Source organism: Homo sapiens, chromosome 12 (assembly GCF_000001405.40).
Source record: "Homo sapiens chromosome 12, GRCh38.p14 Primary Assembly".
Lineage (NCBI taxonomy): Eukaryota > Metazoa > Chordata > Mammalia > Primates > Hominidae > Homo > Homo sapiens.
In genome coordinates, this window is record NC_000012.12 from 82608271 (window position 1) to 82628966 (window position 20696).

At 38.0% G+C, this 20696-nt stretch overlaps 1 long non-coding RNA gene across 1 annotated transcript; it reads left to right on the forward strand.

Moving 5' to 3' along the window:
- Positions 1-5957: 5957 nt before the first annotated feature.
- On the forward strand, positions 5958-18387 carry LOC107984487 (uncharacterized). The gene is made up of 3 exons (XR_001749145.1): positions 5958-6038; positions 8736-8878; positions 18243-18387. It is a non-coding gene; the product is annotated as an uncharacterized LOC107984487 (long non-coding RNA).
- The last annotated feature ends 2309 nt before the right edge of the window (positions 18388-20696 follow it).

Below are 20696 nucleotides of genomic sequence, written 5' to 3' on the forward strand. Positions count from 1 at the left end.
TAGAAACTCTATTTTAAAGGAGACCACTTAAACATTTGCCTTTGAGGGTAATAAATCTTACCAAATCGCTTGGCCAACTTGCATTAAAGCATATTTGTTATGTTTTTATGTATTATTCTTGCACTGTCTAATACTTGAAATGAAATCTGGATTCCTACCAAGGAAATCCAGATATGTAGGAAAGGGCATATCCTGGTAACAAGACAGAGAACTGTTTTGGGGCAATGATGGTAGGGACTAGATAAAGTGCAGGAATACATTATTTATCATAAAGGGATCACCATCCCATTCACAAGGCTTCCTTCTGAACCAGGAACTAGCAAAAAGCGGACTGTAGAAAAAGAGTGAAAATAGTTTAGTATTCAAGTAATCAATAGTCACCCTCAAGTACAGAAATGCCAAAGCTGACCAAAGTCAAAGTTAAATGCTATTTTCCATGAAACTTGCTGTGAAAATGATTTAGAAAATTGTGCAAATTATAGTTTGTACCCCTCATTTATCTGCACTGCTATTTATATACCATTCTAAGACCAAATTATATTCCCTCTTACATCAACTCATTGATGTTTAGACTCTCAAATAAGGGCTGGCTTCAAAAACCGCAAAATTTAGCTTTGATTGTAAAAGAGCTGAGCTGTCACAGAATGCTCTGGGTATGATGCATTCCTGAAATTCCCTTTGATTTATTTGCTCTTACTTTATCCCAGTGACTGAATATTCTCTTCCTACTGGAGATACAAATGAAGTAGATATGATTTTTCTTTTACATAAGTAACTATAACTATTATTCTCTACCAGTAGCATCAATCTCAAAATAATTGTATCTGGGTAATTGAGAATTGGCAAAGAATAAAGGAAATAGGAAGCTTTCAAAAGAAAAATAGATTTAAAAATCCCAGAATGTTTCTGGTTCTCTATTTTCACTTTGGATCCAATACAGAAATAAGATCCAGAATCCTATAAATGTTAGAACCCATGGGCTCTGACCTTAAATCCTTTGACCTATTTCAAAAATAAATTTATACTCAATTTCATAAAGGATCAGACTGAGCTTGTTTAATAAAAATCTCTGGAAAACTAAACATGAACTGGCCTTGGGAAAGTCAAGCCTCTCTAGGACTTCACCACACTTCACGCAAGGTATTTTATTGACATACACACCTGTGTTTACTTCTCTTTCCATGCTCTTTCCCCCATATACTTTTTTTCCAAGCCAGATCTTTGTGCCAGCTTGCCAGAAAGGAGGTTTGTGTTAGAGGACAAAAAACAAAAGTTGCTTACAGACAACCTGGTTTCTGGCCTGTGGTTTTCTGGGGAAAATATATTGAAGAAAGAGAGAAGTGGAGAGTGCTTTTAGTATACATAGAGAAGGAAAGAGAGTAAAGAGGGACAGAGAAAGTAAGAGCCAGTGTCAGAGATGACTGCAGTTAACAAGACCTGAAAGGGGAAGGGCTACAGAGCAGACTTGGAGAAGCTGTTCCTTGGGCCTGTGACACAAAGCATCAGCAAACTCATCAATGCTCAAACTTAGCATTGGAGCCACAGAATCACAGAGCTGCCTGCCTCCACATGTCCGTGTGAGCCTGCATGGTGATGTCCAACTCATTGAGTGTCCCTAGTCCCTGGAAAAATGCCTGCCCATTATTAAGTTCTCAATATTTGTTGAATGGATGAATATAATCAGTGGAGAACGTGACGAACTGAAGCAGACCCTTTCATTTTGGGGATATTATATAAAGTTATTGAAGTTTTATGGATCCCAAGAAAGAGAAGCTCTACTCCACCTCAACCCCAAAATTAATAGTGATTTGCACTCTTGACCATTCTGGCAGGACAGAGTTTCAGAGTAAAATTTAATTCGATTTCTTTCACACTGAAAGTTTTGTAGTAAAATGCTTACCCATACAATGTATCTATGGAATACTCATGTCTATCCAGTATCCAGGAAAAGGTGATAGAAGGAAGGGTTCTCTGCAAGAAAGTCCCCAGAGACCCTTAACCTCCCTGGTAGTGGCAGCTCCAGAACTTTTATTGAGTCTTAGGGTTGTCCATCTAGCTGTAGAAAGAGGTAAGATGGAATGTAAAGCTGCATTTGTATGGAATATCTTATAAGACTGAGAAAACATCTATTATGCATATAAAAATATAGAAAAGGGTTTGATGGACATGCGGAAGGGAGGTAAAATTCTCTCAAGCCATGCTTTGTGCCATCAGTGTTCCATTCTACATCAGGGAAGAGAGCACACACATCCTCAAACACAATCATAACCACAGTCATACACACTCATGCGTGTACAATGGAGTATAAACAGTTTTATCCTGGATTTCTCATATTCTGTTATTTTAATGAAGCTCTGCTGAATTGGACTAATTAAAATTAAAACAATGTAAATTAGCTCATAGCTACTTTGAAGATATTTCTCAGGCCCCATCCATGGGTGGGTAAGAATAAAAATAGTGTCCCCAAAATAGCTATGAATGACCACTTCTCAAGTATTTAAAATGTTCTGTTCAATTGAGTATATTACAAAATTTATCTCCACCACTTACGAAATACTTTTATTGATAGGTAGCTCAAGCCATCATCTTAATAACCACAATTCTTAACCTGGAATAAGTAAATGAATTTTCACTGTGCACTACAATGTATAGAATAGCAAATGAAGGACTGAGAGTCAGCAAGATCTAGAACCAAATATGACAATCTTCGACTTTTACTGTGATGTCAAATTCCTCAAATATCTATTGGAAAGTGTGTTTTTACATAGTTCATTCATAAAATCCACACATTACCACACACAGACATTCTGTTTAATTGAAAAATCCCAAAATCACTGAAAGAATTTATTTTATGCTGTGCTCTTAGGTGATCTTTATTGAATTTAGGATCTCAGAATAAAATAGGGTAGTACCAGATAGAGAAAGCTAAGATTGCTGCACCACTGTCTCATAATCTCAGCTGATCTGTGGCTCTCTCTATCATATTAGGTAATAATTATGGGATGATAATTCATTGACATACATGTGTGCAAGCAATAAATAGGTATATTACATATGCTTGGGTTCAAAGGATGGAGAAAAGCCAAAGCTAGGGTATGAAACTGATATTTTCAAATAGCAATAACAAAAATTCAAAAGGGACATGCAATGGTATCTGCTTAAAATATATAGCCAAGTTTAGACGTTCTGTAGTAGATCATACATACTTTTATATGACATTTTGTTTTGTAAAAGGAAATCTAAAACTCATTATAAATAGGAAGAAAAAGATAGAAAAAAAGCAGCACTTGCAGCCCTACCAATCTGAATACAAAGTTAATATTTTGATGAATTTTCTTTGCATTTATATTCACAGTGGTTTTGACACGTTTGTACTTTATATATAATTACATTTTGTTTTTTTCATTTTCCACAATATTATAATCATTTTTGGTATTATTTATGCTTTTCATCACAGTGTTAATGGTTGAGTAATATTCCATTTATTTGATGTACTTTATACAACTATTCTCCTATAGTCATTCATAAAGATTGTTTATAATCTTTCACTGTCAAACAAAACTGAGATGGACAGCTTTGTGCATACATTTTTTTCCATTTTTAGGAATATTTCTTTAGAATTAATGACCAGTAATAAAATTATTGATCTAAAGGGCATGGCCATTTGAAAACTGTTGAGTCATACAAGGAAACTAATTTAAAAACAGTATAACCCAGGTTATATTGGGTTATATGACCCATGTTATATTGAAATTAGTTCTGAAATCAATTCCAGCTATGTGACATGGGCAAATTACTTAACCACTCTAAGAAAGTTTTCTCCCAAGGACTGGGAGGATTACATGCAATAACATTTATAAATCCACATAAAGACCACTGTATGATAACCACTCAAGAAATAAAAACTGTTATATTATACTTATATTATAGTATTGTTTGGGAGGTCCTTTTTTACCTGGAACTAGGTATTATAATTTTAAAAAAATCTAATTTATTACATGATAGTAGTATGTCATTGAATTATGTTAAGTATTTACTTTACAATTGTCTATTATCTACTGTGTTTGTTTTTCTGAATATCATCTACTCAGGTAAATTTTTTCTAATTCTTTTATCGATTTAATATTTTTAGACTTAAAAAAATACTTTTCCTCTGTCACATTTGTCAAAAATATTTTTTATTTTGGCTTTCATTTTAGTTTTAGTTTTTAACACACAATCTATGAAGTTATTTTATTATTCTATTAAATTATTGCTTTCTTTGTTTTTTAAATTGCTTGTAACTTAGAAAAGCTTTCTACTCCATTCAGAGATTTGATATACATTCAATTGTTTGATTTCTTTTTTAGTGTAACATTTTAAAAAATCAATTACTATTAATTCATCTGGAATTTACATTTGTATGTATTATGGGGTGATTTAAAACATTTTATCAAAAATGTGCATAAAATATTAATTGAAATACTATTGTTCTTGTTTATTTATGGGACCTATTTCATTGTATATTTATTTCTTATATAATAGTTTTTTAAACCAGGGGTCCCAAAACCCCAGGCCACGAACTGGTATGGGTCTATGGCCTGTTAGGAACCAGGCCACACAGCACGGGGTGAATGCTGGGAAAGTGAAAGAAGCTTCATCTGTATTTACAGCCACTCCCCATCACTTGCATGCGCTGAGATCTGCCTCCTGTCAGATCAGCGGTGGCATTAGCTTCTCATAGGAGCATGAACCCTACTGTAAACTGCATATGCAAAGGATATAGGTTGCACGCTCCTTATGAGAATCTAATGTCCGATGATCTGTTACTGTCTCTCATCACCCCCACACAGGACAATCTAGTTGCAGGAAAACAAGCTTAGGACTTCCACTGATTCTACATTATGGTGAATTGTATAATTTATTTCATTAGATATCACAATGTAATAATAATAGAAATAAAGTGCACAATAAATGTAATCATCATGTAACCATTCCCCGCTCCCTATTTCGTGGAAAAATTGTCTTCCACGAAAGTGGTCTCTGGTGCCAAAAAGGTTGGGACTGCTGCTTTAGACTTTCTCTTCTCATATCAGCATTATTCTGTTTCACTTATTTTGGTTTTTAATGTACTCTACTGTCTGTTGAACTTAGATACCATGATGGTTAGTTCTTTCTTTCTTCATTTTTTAGCTATGTCCTCCCCACCTATTTTCCACGTGAACTTTATAAAACATTTAACAACTTCTAGAAATATAAATCCTTGGAATATTAAATGGATTTGTATTACCTTATATAATTATCTTGAAAAAAACAGATATCTTTATATCATTCAGTCTTTGCCTTTCCGTTTATGATGTCTTCACATTTATTCAAGTATTTAGCACTCCATAAACCTTATAGTTCTTTAAGTCATATATGTTTCATATTAAGATAATTTCTTCTTTCCCTTTCCAGCTCCCCTCTTTATTGTATTAAGAGTAAATTAAATTTTGTCCTATTTTTGTTGTCTGCATTTTAGTTTTCTGATTTGTAAAATGCAAAGGGAAGGATGAGTTCTCTTGGATAAGAGCTTAATGAATCTCAGCACATAATAGGAGTTCACTAAAAACTGTTAAATAAATAGTTGAATGAAAAGGAAATTCCTATTGGGTTTTAATTGTTTGAATGAGGAGAGAAAGGGAGGAACAGCCTATTATGTAATTCCATTATTTCCACCTTGACTCCATCCCAACCTTACCTCTGTTGCCTAACGTGACCCCATCCCATCTTTGTACTCACCTGTACTTCCTATCTTCACTTTGGATTTTAGATATATCAAAGAGGACCCCTCCAGTATCCACATGCTGAGAAACTATGTAGAATGAATATTGTCCATCCCCTTAAAAATGAGCCAGATTATATCTTTTCCTTTCCTCCTACTTGAAATTGAAATTCCACTACTTTCTCACTGCAGGAAGAATGTACAGCTTTCTACTGATTGTTCTGTGCTCCACAAACTAAAATATCAAAAGTTACTTTGATCCAGGCTACATTTCTTTCAACAAGACATTAGACAGGTGAGTTGAGCTATTATCCTTAGTCCATAACAAATGTTTCATCACAGTTGCAGCTTTTCCCCTTCTTACATTGTTAAATTATAGCTCAGAATCCCCAGCTTTATAAGAGTCACGTATATCATAATAAGCTCTTGTATGAAAAATGTGCCATTACCTCTACTATTACCTTATCACTTCTAGAAAATTCTTGTGTGGGAATTGGGCAATCTTTCAAGATGGATTTCCTTACTATCCTATAACTAGAAAATGTAATCAGTTAGCAGAGGCCTGGTGTCATCCGACCATTAAAATGTGATGCCTGTGGCTTTTAGCTTTGCTCATTGTCATCTTTTGATTCCTTTGTTAATACAGTTTGCCATTCGGGCTACTTTGCTAATTATTGCAGACCATATTCCACTCCTACAAGATGAGTAAATATGCAATGCTTCACAGTGAAATGAAAAAAAAAAGAGCAAATTTGACCTTTCAACATTAGGATAAAATTGGAAAAAATGACACAAAAGGTCAATTCCAGCATAGGGACTGTACAGAGTGACAGGTACTGCACCCCTGTCCCTTTGTATAGGCTGGTATTTCTAAGGATCAACTATCACAGAATCCTAGGGTGCTTTGAATAATGTACAGTTGATACCTGCAACACTGACTTCCTGAGTGAATCTCTAGGGCTGAATTTTGCCACTCTGCATTTAAAACAAACAAACAAACAACAACAACAAAAAATCCTCAAGTGGTTCTTATGAACATAAAGAAGGAAGGACCACAGGTAAATATTATAACCTTACAGGTTCTTTTAAAAAGCTTTGTTAAAGATCTTTATTTTATCTACACAACTTTGTGATCAAAAATGTTTGAAGATCACAAACTTATTTTTAGACTCAATTTATTATTAACTCATTGATGATTTTCCTAACCCAGACGGCAAGTATTTGTGCCATTCTACTTTTGTTAAAATTAATGGAATTTATTCACAAGCCTAACAAACAAATAGTTAAAATATTATCAAAGGCTAAGAGAAGAAAAATGCAATGTATTCCTTCTGTAACATACTTTCATGTCATGTGACCTCAACTGGGATCTCACAATAGCTCAGCAATCTATTCATTTATTTGAAAGATGATCTAGTTCATTCTCCACAGCTGTTTCTGCAAACTGTTCCTTATGTCTCTAAGCATCTGTTTCCTACTCCTATGTATCTGTGAAGATGATGGCTTTATAACATTAGTGCTTCCAACTTCTCGCTACCTCAATATTCTCTATATCATTGCATCTCTGTACATTGTGTGCATGACAAAAAAAGTGTCTTTCTTCTTTTCTAAGGGTGACATGCCAAAATACCAAAACTTTGAGTCTTTTCTGACTTTTAAGAGAAGAATATGTGGGTTCCAGGAAGAATGATTCCCACTGCCCATAGGTAGATGGAGACAAGAGAGAGATGATAGGGAGTCCTAAGAATACTTGTAGAGTTGAAGGGTTGAAATGTCAAAGGAGTTCAGGCAAAGAGACAGGTGTGGATGAAAGGATTCCTAGAGATAAAGATGAATCACAAGATCCAGTAGATTAAGATTTGAAAGACTGAGAGGACACCAAAGCCTGAAGCCACGGCATGAGAACAAACCTGCAGTAGCTGAATTTGTAGACAAATGGAAAGAAATAGAAAATCAAGGATGTAAATAAATTTCAGTGAGAGAGCTACAGGAATCAAAGATTCTAGTGTAAATTTTGCTGAAAGCTTTTAGTTGTTGTTGTTATTGTGACCAAGAAGTTGTAACTTCACTGTTTTTGGTTTTCTTTAGTGATTCCTGTTTTTATGTGGTTGAAGAGTTACTCACATCTTACAAAATCTTTCTATCAACACCCTTGATCTCATCCTCTCCTGTCATTTCCAGGATGCTACATCGCATATATTTGCAAAATGTGAAGAAGATATTTATATACGGGATATCTTCCTTTTGCCTTTTTTGGTACTGCATCCTAACTTTCCCTTGTACAATCTCTGACCCCTGTCAATGTGGTTTGAACAAAATTGATCTCCATTCCTGGCTCCCAGGATGAGATTGTAACTTGAGGCTGGCCAAAGTGCCATATCACTCTGATCTAGTGATTGGTTTAAAAATGGTGCATTGCTCAATTTGTGACAGTCAAAGAATCACAAGCTTCTGCACCAGCACTCTTTGAAGTCAATATAGACAAAGTAGAGCTGAAATATGGAGAGACAGAAACAAGATCCAATGACAATGTTTGACCCCTACACCTAGTTCTGCCTGAAACCTAGCCCTAACTTTTCTGTTACATGAGCTAATAAATTCCCTCCTTTGTTTCAGCAAGTTTTTGGTGGGTTCCTTAAAGTTTCAATAGAACATAATCTGACTAATGAAAATTAAAGTATGGTATAATCCCAATAAATAATCATGTGGCTACAGGGGATATATAGAGTGAAACCCCTTACAATAATATTAGGATTCTGTGATTAGATTATTCTGGATTATGTAATGATCAAACCTCTGTCATTCAACCTGCACTTTTTTTGGCTTAAAATGCTTTTTCCTTCCTCTGATTGATATGTAGACTTTGCATAATTCTAGTTTTGATGCCATACCATTCGTAAGAGACAACCTAACCTATATGGTTGTCTTATAAACTTTTTATTGATGCTCAATGTCTCTTATTGGAATTATTCTTCTCTCATTCTTTGTCCAGTTTGTGTGGGCAGTGTTGACCATACCCAAAACTCCAGGTTTGTGGGGCACATGACACAGACTAGGCCAATTGGAGATTACCCTGGGACTTGTGCCAGAGTTTGTTTTGAAGAAGTGTCACTCCATTCTCTTGGATTGCTAGCTGTAAGTATATGCAAGTATAAAGTTGCCAGTGGATATTTTGGGGATGCTAAAGGCCTATATGAGATTGAGGTCATTATGGAGAAAAGCAAAACTGAAAGATGGAGGAAAGGGAGTAGTTTTATGGAGACATCTTTAAAGGATCCACTAAAGCCATCCTCATATCTTAGATTCTCCAGCCACATGAACCAACAAATTTACTTTCTTTGCCTTAAACTGGCTTGAGTTGTTTTGTTTTTGTTTTTGAGATGGAGTCTCACTCTGTTAACAGGCTGGATTGCAGTGGTGCCATCTCAGCTCACTGCAACTTCCACCTCCTGGATTCAAGCAATTCTCGTGCCTCAATCCCCCCAGTAGCTGGGATTACAGGCACATGCCACCACGCCCAGCTAATTTTTGTATTTTTAGTAGAGACAGGGTTTCACCATGTTGGCCAGGATGGTCTCGATCTCCTGACCTTGTGATCCACCTGCCTCGGCCTCCCAAAGTGCAGGAATTACAGGTGTGAGCCACAGCGCCCAGTCTGAGTTGGGTTTTTAATACATGGAACCAAAATCTTGACTAACTATACATTGGCATGAAGGTGTTGGTACTTACAAGTTAGTGTCAGCTCTCACAGATTCTGAAATCCCATCTCTCAAAATTAGCTGAGAAGATGTTAGTGACTGGCTGACTTCTCTGAAAATACCCTTGGTTGTCATGGTGATGGGGAGCAGATACTGAGAAGATTCTGAAATATATTCATATAAAATCTGAGCTATGGGGGGAATGTATTTAACTCAGCTGTGGGAATGCTGCATTCATAGAACCCACTAAGATGCATGGAGATACACTAGTCTCAGATTGTTCGTGTTGTTCAAGAAATCTAAAGGGACAGTGTTATTTAAAGAAGGTGATAGACAAATTGGAACTTATGTCTCTGCTAATACTCAGTGCTTGGTGTCAAGTTTGTATAACCTCTCCACCCTAAAGCTGAGACCAGTGTATCTCAGAGATCATATACATATTCTTTATGGTTTTTCCCCCAACTTTGTAAATGAAAAGACATAATACATGAGTATTAAGACTTGGCTTTTCGTAATATTTCTTTCACATATCTATCTATAGAATTCTTATTTAAAAGCTCAAAAGATGGATAATGGAGCAAGATGGCTGAATAGAAACTCCACTGTTTGTTCCCCCAATGAGACACCAACTTAACAACTATTTACACAAAAAAAGTACCTTCATAAGAACCAAAAATCAGATAAGCACTCAGAGTACCTGGTTTTAACTTTGTATTACTTGAAGAGACACTGAAGAGGTAGAACAAACAGTCTTGAATCACTGATGCCACCCATCCTCCATCCCCTGGCAGCAGTGGTGTAGTGTGGAGAGTGATTTTGTGTGCTGGGGAGAGAGAAAGGAGGCAATGCCAAAATTTGAGAGGCAATGAACTCAGTGCTGTCCTGTTATAGCAGAAAGTAAAACCAGACCAAACTCAGCTGACATTCCCTATGGAGGGAGCATTTAAATCAGCCCTAGCCAGAAGTGAATTGCGAATCCCAGCTGTCAGAACTTGAGTTCCCACAAAACTCACCACCATGGACTAAAGGGCTGTGGGGCTCTAAATAAACTTGAAATGTAGTGTAGTCTGAAGGACTCTTAGGCGAGTCTTAGTGCCGAACTGGGCCCAGAGACAGTGGACTGCTGGCTACGTGACCCACAAAGACACCAGTTGGGGTCGGTAAGGGAGTGCTGGCATCACTCCTCCCCTAACAACGCTGTCCAGCTCATGGCTCCAAAAGAGACTCTTTCCTTTCCATTGAGGAGAGGAGAGGGATGAGGAAAGAGGACTTTTGATATAGTTTGGCTGTGTCCCCACCCAAATCTCATCTTGAATTATAACTCCCACAATTCCCACATGTCATTGGAAGAACCCAGTGAGAGGTGATTGAATTTTGGGGGTGGGTCTTTCCTGTGATAGTTCTTGTGATAGTGAATGAGTCTGATGAGATCTGATGGTTTTAAAAAGAGGAGTTCCCCTGCATAAGTTCGCTTTGCCTGCCACCATCCATGTAAGATGTGACTTGCTCTTCCCTGCCTTCTGCCAGGGTTGTGAGGCTTCCCCAGCCATGTGGAACTGTAAGTCCAATTAAACCTTTTTATTTTGTAAATTGCCCAGTCTTGGGTATGTCTTTATCAGCAGTGTGAAAACTAATACAATTTTGTATTTCATATTGGATACCAGCTCAGCCACAGCAGGATAGGACATTGGTCAGAATTGTAAGGCCCCTGTTCCAGGCCCTGCCTCCTAGAAAACATTTCTAGACACACCCTGAGCCAGAAGGGAGTCAGCTACCTTAAAGGGAAGGACCAAGTCCTGGCAGGATTCATTACCTGCTAACTGAAGAGCCCTTGGCCCCTGAATAACCAATAGCAATACCCAGGTATTATATCAAGGATCTTGGGTGAGACTCTAAGACTTGCTGGCTTCAGGTAAGACTCAGCACACTCCCAGATGTGGTGGCTATGGGGTTAGACTCCTTCTGCTTGAAAGCAACATAGGGAAAAGTGAAAGGGACTGTCTTGTACCTTAGGTGCCAGCTCAGCCACAGGGGAGTAGGGCGCTGAGTGTGCTCCTGGGTTCCCCAATTCCAGGACTTGACTGTTGGATGGCATTTCTGGACCTGCCGGCAGAGGAGCCCACTGCACTGAAGGGTGAGATACAGGCCAGGCAGCATTCACCACAAGCTGACTAAAGAGCACTTAGGCCTTAAGAAAACATTGGCAGTAGTCTGGCAGTATTCCCCATGGGCCTGTAGTGACAGTGGCAATGGGGTGAACCTCGTCTGCCTTTGGAAAGGGGAGGAAAGAGTAAGAAAAACTGAATCTTGTGGATTAAGTGCCAGCCACAGTACAACAGAACACCAGACAGACTTCTAAGGTTTTTGACTCTAGGCCCTGATTCCCAGATAGCACCTTAGGACCCACTTGGGGCCTGGGGGAGCTCATCACCCTGAAGGGAAGGACATAGGCCTGGCTGGCTTTGCTGTCTGCTGATTGTAGAGCCCCAGGCCTTGAACAAACACAGGCAGTAGCCAGGGAGTCATTACAGCAGGCCTTGGATGAGACCCAGTGTTGTGCTGCCTTCAGGTCTGACACAATGCAGTCACAGTGTTGGTGGCCATGGGGGTGCTTCTGTCGCTCCATCCCTAGCTTCAGGGGGCTCATAACAGAGGCAGACTCTGTTTGGGAGAAAGTAAAGAAGTAAAATAAGAGTTTCTGCCTGGTAATACAAAGAATTCTTCTAGATCTTGTCCAAGACCATCAAGGCAGTACCTCTACAAGTCTGAAAGACTTGGTCTTTCACTTGGCTAACACTATAGTGTTACTGGGCATAAGGTTTCCCCTAAAGCAGACACAGCTAGGATCACAATGCTCAAGTCCTTCTGATTATCTGGAAAGTCTTCCCAAGAAGGATGGGTACAAGCAAGCCCAAACTACAAAGACTACAATAAATACCTAACTCTTCGATACCCAGACACCAAAGAACATTGTATTAGTTCTTTTTCATGCTGCTATGAAGAAATAGCTGAGACTGAGTAATTTACAAATGAAAGAGGTTTAATTGATTCACAGTTCTGCGTGGCTGGGGAGGCCTCTAGAAACTTATGATCATGGTGGAAGGGGAAGCAAAGACATCCTTCTTCACATGGCAGCAGGAGAGAGAACTGCCAAGCAAAGCAGGAAAAGCCCCTTATAAAACCATCAAATCTCATGAGAAACTCACTCACTATCACGAGAACTGCATGGGGGTAACTGCCCCCATGACTCAATTGCCTCCCACAAGGTCTTTCCCATGACACATGAGGATTATGAGAACTACAATTCAAGATGAGGTTTGCGTGGGAACACAGAGCCTAACAATATCAAGCATCTACTAGCATCAGTACCATCCAGGAAAACATGACATCACCAAATGAACAAAGTAAGTCACCAAGGACCAATCCTGGAGAAACAGATATGTGACCTTTCAGACTGAGAATTCAAAATAGTTGTGTTGAGGAAATTCAGAGAAATTCAAGAGGACAGATATATGACTTGGAGAAACAGTGACGTGACCTATCAGACAGAGAATTCAAAATAATGTGTTGAGGAAATTCAGAGAAATTAAAAAGAACACAGAGAAGGAATTCAGAATTCTAGCTGATAAATTTAACAAAAAGATTGAAATAATTAAAAAGAATCAAGCAGAAATTCTGGAGCTGAAATGCAATTGGCATACTGAAGAACACATCAGTCTTAATTAGCAGAATTGATCAAGCAGAAGAAAGAATTGGTGAGCATGAAGACAGGCTGTTTGAAAATACACAGTCAGAGGAGACGAAACCAAAAAGAATAAAAAACAATGAAGTACATCTACAGGATCTAGAAAATAGCCTGAAAAGTTCAAATCTAAGAGTAATTTGCCTTATAGAGGCAGTAGAGAAAGATATAGGGGCAGAAAGTTTATTCAAAGAGATAATGACAGAGAAGTTCCCAAACCTAAAGGAAGATATCAATATCCAAGTATAAGTATAAAAAGGCTATAGAACACCAAACAGATTTAGACCAAAGAAGTCAACTTTAAGGCATTTAATAATCAAACTCCCAAAGATCGAGGGTAAATAAAGAATCCTAAAAGTAGCAACAGAAAAGAAGCAAACAACATACAATGGAATGCCAATATATCTGACAACAGACTTTTCAGTGGAAACCTTACAGGCCAGGAGAGAGTGGTATGGCATATTTAAAGTGCTGGAGAAAAAGCTTTTACCCTAGAAGAGTACATACAGTGAAAATATTCTTCAAGCATGAAGGAGAAATACTTTCCCAGACCACACACACACACACACAAAGCTGTGGGATTTTATCAACAGCAGACTTGTTCTACAAGAAATACTAAAGGAAACACTTCAATATCAAAAAGAAGAGGACATTAATAAGGAATAAGTAATCATTTGCATTATTCTAACTAAAGTAAAGTAACACAGTAATCAAAAACCAAACACCATATGTTCTCACTTACAAGGGGGAACTAAGCTATGGGTATGCAAAGGCATACAGAGTGGCATAATGGATATTGAAGACTCAGAAGTGGGGAAGGTGAGAAGGGAGTGAAAGATTTTTAAAAAAGCTATATATTGGCTACAATTTCCACTACTTGAGTGATGGGTGCACTAAAATCTCTGATGTCATCATTTTACGATTCATCTATGTAACCAAAAACCACTTGTTCCCCTAAAGCTATGGAAATAAAAAATAAAAACAAATTTATCCTAATTCCCTAAAAATGCTCAACAATGATACTTTGAAATGAATATGAAATATCATTTGTGAAAACTCTGAGCTTCTATAGGGTTTAAATGTTGCCAAATTTCTTTGAACACACAGACTGCTCATCTCATCTCTTTCATCTAAGAACACATCTAAGATGGTTTGTTTCTCTGTTAATCGCCTATTCAAATCAGTACTTATAACGAAAGCTATCATGATAAACTCTGAAATGTCATATATTTAGCAGGCAAATTTTTATGATATTATGATACAGAGGTATATTTTCATCATTTCCCCCCTTTTAAAGGAGTTTTTTTAAAAATAACACTTCATATTTTATAAAACAGCAATTATTAGGTTGGTGCCAAAATAATTGCTCTTCTTGCCATTACTTTTATTAATAATGGCAAAGACTACAATTACTTCTGTGCCAACGTAATGTATTAGGAATTAAAGGACAAGTTTTGCTCTGGTTCTGCCACCAGGTAAATTTGGAGGAGTTACTTTACCTCTATGAGCCATTATTTGCAGATATCAAGTACAGGAATTCAACAAGATGAGCTCTCAGGCCTTTTCCAAGTTTGAATCTATGCTTTCATGTAGTACAAATAATGCTTACAAAAGGAATTAGTAGATGATTAAATATTTTCCATATGCCATAGTAACAAAGATTAGTGTTCTAAAACCACAAGGTAATCAAGTTATCAAAGCAAATGTTTTACTAGAGGAAAGATGTGAAAGAAAGTCTAAATTTACTTTGCTGGATGTTACATAAGCTACTTCTGGTAGATGTTTTTAATTCCTGGATTTGATAACACCACTAGAGGAATGGGTTTCTCAGCTATGTTTCTGCCAATAAAGCCTGACACAGACTTCACCACCACCCATGGTGGGCATGGTGATATACTGTCCAGTTCCTCCCCAAGGAAGAACTTGCTGCCCAGCTGAGAAAAAGGAAGTCAGCTGCATGAAGACACCTTGCCTGAGTCACACCCTTTCTGTGGACAGTCTGCATTCCATGAAAAAGTAGGAGTCTGAAGGACCCATATAGGACCCTCCAAAGACATTACATGTCCCAGGGCTCTCTGCTGGGTTGGTTCAGGCATTTTCTGGGCCAGTACTACAGTTTGACTTCTCTTTCTGCACAACACTGCTTTCTCGCCTTTCTCTTGTCGTGTGTTGATTCCTTATAATTATCTTGCACCCTAAACTCCATCTTAACATCTGCTTCCTGGGAACCCAGACTTGGACATGTGTAATTATTTTAGAAATAATAAGTTAATGTTTATTTCTTTTTGCCACATGAAGAGAAAAATATGGAGAATAATGCCTGCTTTAATATTAATAATGGGTTTTTTTCTGCAGTGGGTTTTTTTTTTTTTTTTTTTTTGAGATGGAGTCTCGCTCTGTAGCCTGGGCTGAAGTGCAGTGGCGTGATCTTGGCTCACTGCAAGCTCCGCCTCCCGGGTTCACGCCATTCTCCTGCCTCAGCCTCCCCAGTTGCTGGGACTACAGGCGTCCGCCACCACGCCCAGCTAATTTTTTTTCTATGTTTAGTAGAGACGGGGTTTCACAGTGTTAGCCAAGATGGTCTTGATCACCCGACTTCGTGATCCACCAGCCTCGGCCTCCCAAAGTGCTGGGATTACAGGCGTGAGCCACCGCGCCCGGCCTGTAGTGGGATTTTTTAAAACTTTCTTGTATTTTTCTGTTTTGCTTTAATTTTTCAAAAATGACAAGCAAGCATAATTTTTTACCAAGAAATAAAGTCATCGAAAAACAAAAATAATAAATGCAATATTGATAACATGATGGGGTAGGGAAGATAAAGGATGAAGATATAAAAAGGGAATCAGCAGTAGATTTTAAATCAGAATTAAGCTGTATTTATTTCTGAATATAATTGCAACAGGAAGCTTTTTAATATTGCTGTAAGTTCTTCCCAATATTTTTATATCATGTCAGTTTACCTAATACTAAAGTACTTTGAAAAGTTACATACACTGAAACAATTTACCAAAGTGTTAGATAATCACACACACAATGTTGCTATGGATTTGAAGATTTTAAAGTTTGACAAAATAGAAATCATTTCTTTTGTTTATAAATCAAATTTTGCCTGTGTTTGGAGAAGGCTCAGGTTGATAACTAGGCATATTCTACCCGTTGTACCTACTAGTGTTGATTATATTGCACAGCAATAATTTACAGGACCTTATTTATCTCCTACATTTTATGGAACGAGTTTAACAGAAGTAGATATTGGGATTATGTAGAACCTGTAAAAGTTTTCCTTAGACATATCTCAGGTGATCAAAGTGTTAGGATCGTTATGATCATGTGTGATAACTGGTAGTGAAAGGGGCTTTGAGGCCATGATCATGGTTTCAGTAGCATTCTTGTGCCCTGGATTTCCAGAATCTTCGCAGATTGGTGTAGTCTCAATCCACTAGGATCTATGTTCAGTATAACGTCTTCTGAGTAGCTCTACATTTGCCAAGCCATACATCGCCATTGGCAAATAAAATCCTTTGGTCTTAGATGGGAGTAAGAAGTGAAAATATCTCCTCAGTGCTATAGTACAGAACTCCAGAGATAGTCATGTAAACAAGCCATCATCCAAACTTTTCTTTCCCCTTTCTTCACAGATATAATTATCAATGTAACCTTTCCCCTCTCTATAGAATGTCAAGGGCCATTTATAAATCAGATTCCCTCATGATGAAAACTTCTGTTCAAAACAACAAGAAACCAAAAAAAAAAAAAAACAAACTTGTTCAAAATAACAGTTGATACATGGACATTCCTACTACAAATAAAGAATGTAAGTCATTCTTCATCTTCATTGTTATAGAATTTTTAGCTGCTCATTAAAAACAGGCCAAGTTAGAAATTAAAGAAGACAAAACTAAATCTCACTAATTGAAATGGATAGCCCAGGGCAAGCATCCATGGTTAGAAACAGTTCACCTAAAAGCAGGATTTGTTAGTGTCTCACTGTAGCCGCATTCGCCAGGCTACAGCATTTATGGAACAGCTTCCTATCCTTACAAAAGTTAGAGCCAAAATGTGCCTGGTGAGAGGGAATAGCAATAGCTCCAAGAAGTAGCATTCCAGAGCTCCGGAGTGTGTTTGAGATTTCAATTAAAAGTCCCTACACACAAGTGGATTTCTTCCAAGCACTGCCCTCTGGGCCCTTGTGCTATCCCAAACCAAGATAATGACCAGCCATCTATAGGGCTTTGTTTTCCGGGTGTGTTGTGAGACAATGGCATAATGAATGGCAAACTCAGCTGGTGCCAGAGCTCTGTCACACAAGCCTGGCATTTGGGAATCTGGTGTATTTACTCAGAGCAGCTGTGAAAGTTTGGAAAGACGTTCCAGTTTGAAGATCCATTAACCTCTGTGAAGGGCCACATTTTAGCAGCAACATTTAAGGGATAAATAGGTGTTGAATCCTGTGGAGCCCAAGCCCAGATTCTGCTGGAAAGGAGTTGTGCTAAATAATATTCAAGGTCTCACAGATTCATGTGCTTCAAAGCTCACATTTTGAGAGGTGTTGGTAGTTATTGTGATAATGTTGTTAGAATGATTTTCTAATGCAGCACTTTGTTCTGTTAAATATTTGGAGGAGACATTTTAAAAATGCCCTTCACTTAGTAGGTGCCTGATTTTTATATAAATGAGTGATTAGTTTTATAGTTATTGTGAACTATGATACAAAGACTATGCCCCATTAATTTATATAACAAATACTTATTGGGCACATATTATGCCAAGCAGCACATTGCAAGTCACTACAGATTGGGCAGTAAACAAAACAAAATCCCTGTTATCATATTGTTGCACATAAACTGAAGTGTACTTCTATATTAGTTACAAGCCATGGGTATGTGAAAAATAGAAACTAGGACTTTTAAAATATTACCTAAACCCTTCAATTATTCAGACCCAGCCTATTCTAGCTTTTTCTTCTGGTATTCCAGTCAAACTAGACATTTCAATATAAAAAGTAAATTTCTCCTCTTTTCACTACTGAAATTTTGCGCCTGCTCTTTCTTATTTCCAGAATATCATTATCCTCATCTTTAAATTTTCAAGATTTAGTCATCCATCAAGGCCTTATTGAAAACTGCCTGCTCTGTGTTTACCATCCCAATACCTGAAGCTAAAATGTTGTCATCTTCCTCTGAGCCATTATAGCAACTTGTTTGGACCCATTCTAGGTAAGTTCTACTTATTTGTATATGTCTTTTTACCATTTTCTTCTTCCTATCCTCTCAAACACTTCCAAAACCTCACATGTACATAATCATTGAGACCCAATAGGGGTTGTCTCATTCTTTTCATAGGTATATCAAAATCTTTATGTATTAATCTGAATCCTATGCTGTCTAATCATTATATAAAACTTTAATTATATTAAAATTTTGTGTTATGGTTTGAGCAGGATTTGGGACCCTATATGACCCATTATTTACTATTGTCAGTCAAGATCAATCAAGAAGGCAAAGCCCACATCAGATAGTTTAATAATGGATGTACAAAGAGAAGATCTATAAGAGATAGTGAGGCAGCCTGAATATAGCAATGGCAGGAGGCCCAAGGGAGGAGGTAAGGTTGACAGAGCCCAAAGCCAATGCCTCCTTGTAAGAGGCTGTCCACCAGGAGTTAGGACCACAGAGGGAGTAGCTATCTGATGAAAGTTGGAAATACAGAGACTATGTGGTTATCGCCAGAGTTGCTACCTGAAGTGGAAAGGAAGGAAGGGAAAAAAACCTAGCTTCTTCCTTCGTCCCACACTTCAATCTAGCCAGTTCCTCACATTGGTAGAAAGGAACCAGAAGAAAAAGGCAAGGAAGTGGAGAGTTGGCATGGTACAGTTACCTGCAATACAGAGCAAAACATAGGAAGAATGGATAATGGAAGTTGGAGCAGTTAAATCATCAACACAGTCTGCTTAATCTATAATTGTCTGAAGTGGTTCCTAATTGACAGTGAAGAAGCAAGCTGGCTTCACTTAACCTCACAGAAAACCAAAAACAAACACAGTTCTAAGATTGTCACCAGCAATATCCCAGAACTCAAATATGAGGAGGAGGCAGTTCCAGGGCCACAGAGAAGTGAACAAACTTGAAGGCGATGATAAGAGAAACAGATCTCCACATCCCTGATGCCAATCTGCCTGGCACCAAGCACGTGGAAAACTGTCCTCTGACTCACAATTTCTACACTGGGAAAAGTAAGATCAAGGCGAACAACTAGCTTCTGCACCATCTTGGTTTCCCTGGCAGGAGACCTGTTTCTACCTCCACTCATGAGCGCATCAGGAATGCCTGAAGGGAGAAATATCTCTGAGAGCAAGAGACAAAGCGGGGTGGTGGGAGTATTATTCCCGGCCTGAAAACTCTGCTCTGTCACTTGGCCAAAGGAGATGCCAAATCAGAGTGGCTGTTCAGCAGCACCGCACTGTAGGTGGTTTGTTACACTGGTCCCCACGGCACGAACCCCTAGCCAGCCTTTTCATACTACTGGGATGTTCTCCTTGGTATCTTCTCCATTCCAGACAGGCTGCGATTGTTTACTAGAACTGGGCAAACCTGGACTTAAGGAGCCATCTAGTGATCAAAAGGAGGCAGTAACCTAGTGGAAAAAGGAGAAAAAGAAAAATAATCAACGGGTAAATTAAAAGCAAACATATCAAATAAAAATCAATACAAGCCAGACAGAGAAGACTGGAATAAATAATCCTTCAGTGCAAAGATATAGATATACATCCACAAGAAACAACAAGCAGAGAACCATGACTCCCCAAATGGACAAAGCAAGAAACAATCCTCTGAATCTGAGACAGCAGTATGTGAACTCTCTAAGAATTCAAAATAGCAGTGTTTTTTGTTTTTGTTTTTGTTTTGTTTTTATTATACTTTAAAGTCTTGGGTACATGTGCAGAATGTGCACTTTTGTTACAGGGGTATGCACATGCAATGGTGGTTTGCTGCACCCATCAACCCGTCACCTACATTAGGTATTTCTCCTAATGCTATCCCTCCCCTAGCCTTGCACGCCACAGCAGGCCCCGGTGTGTGATGTTCCCCTTTTGTCTCCATGTGTTCTCATTTTTCACAGCCCACTTATGAGTGAGAACATGCAGTATTTGGTTTTCTGTTCCTCTGTTAGTTTGTTGAGAATGATGGTTTCCAGCTTCATCCATGTCCCTGCAAAGGACATGAACTCATTCTTTTTTATGGCTCCATAGTATTCTATGGTGTACATGCACCACATTTTCTTTATCCAGTCTGTCATTGATGGATATTTGGACGGGTTCCAAGTCTTTGCTACTGTGAATAGTGCCACTATAAACATATGTGTGCCTGTGTCTTTATAGTAGAATGATTTATAATATTTTGGGTATATACCCAGTAATGGGATTGCTCTGTCAAATGGTATTTCTAGTTCTAGATGCTTGAGGAATCGCCACACTGTATTCTGCAATGGTTGAACTAATTTAGACTCCCACCAA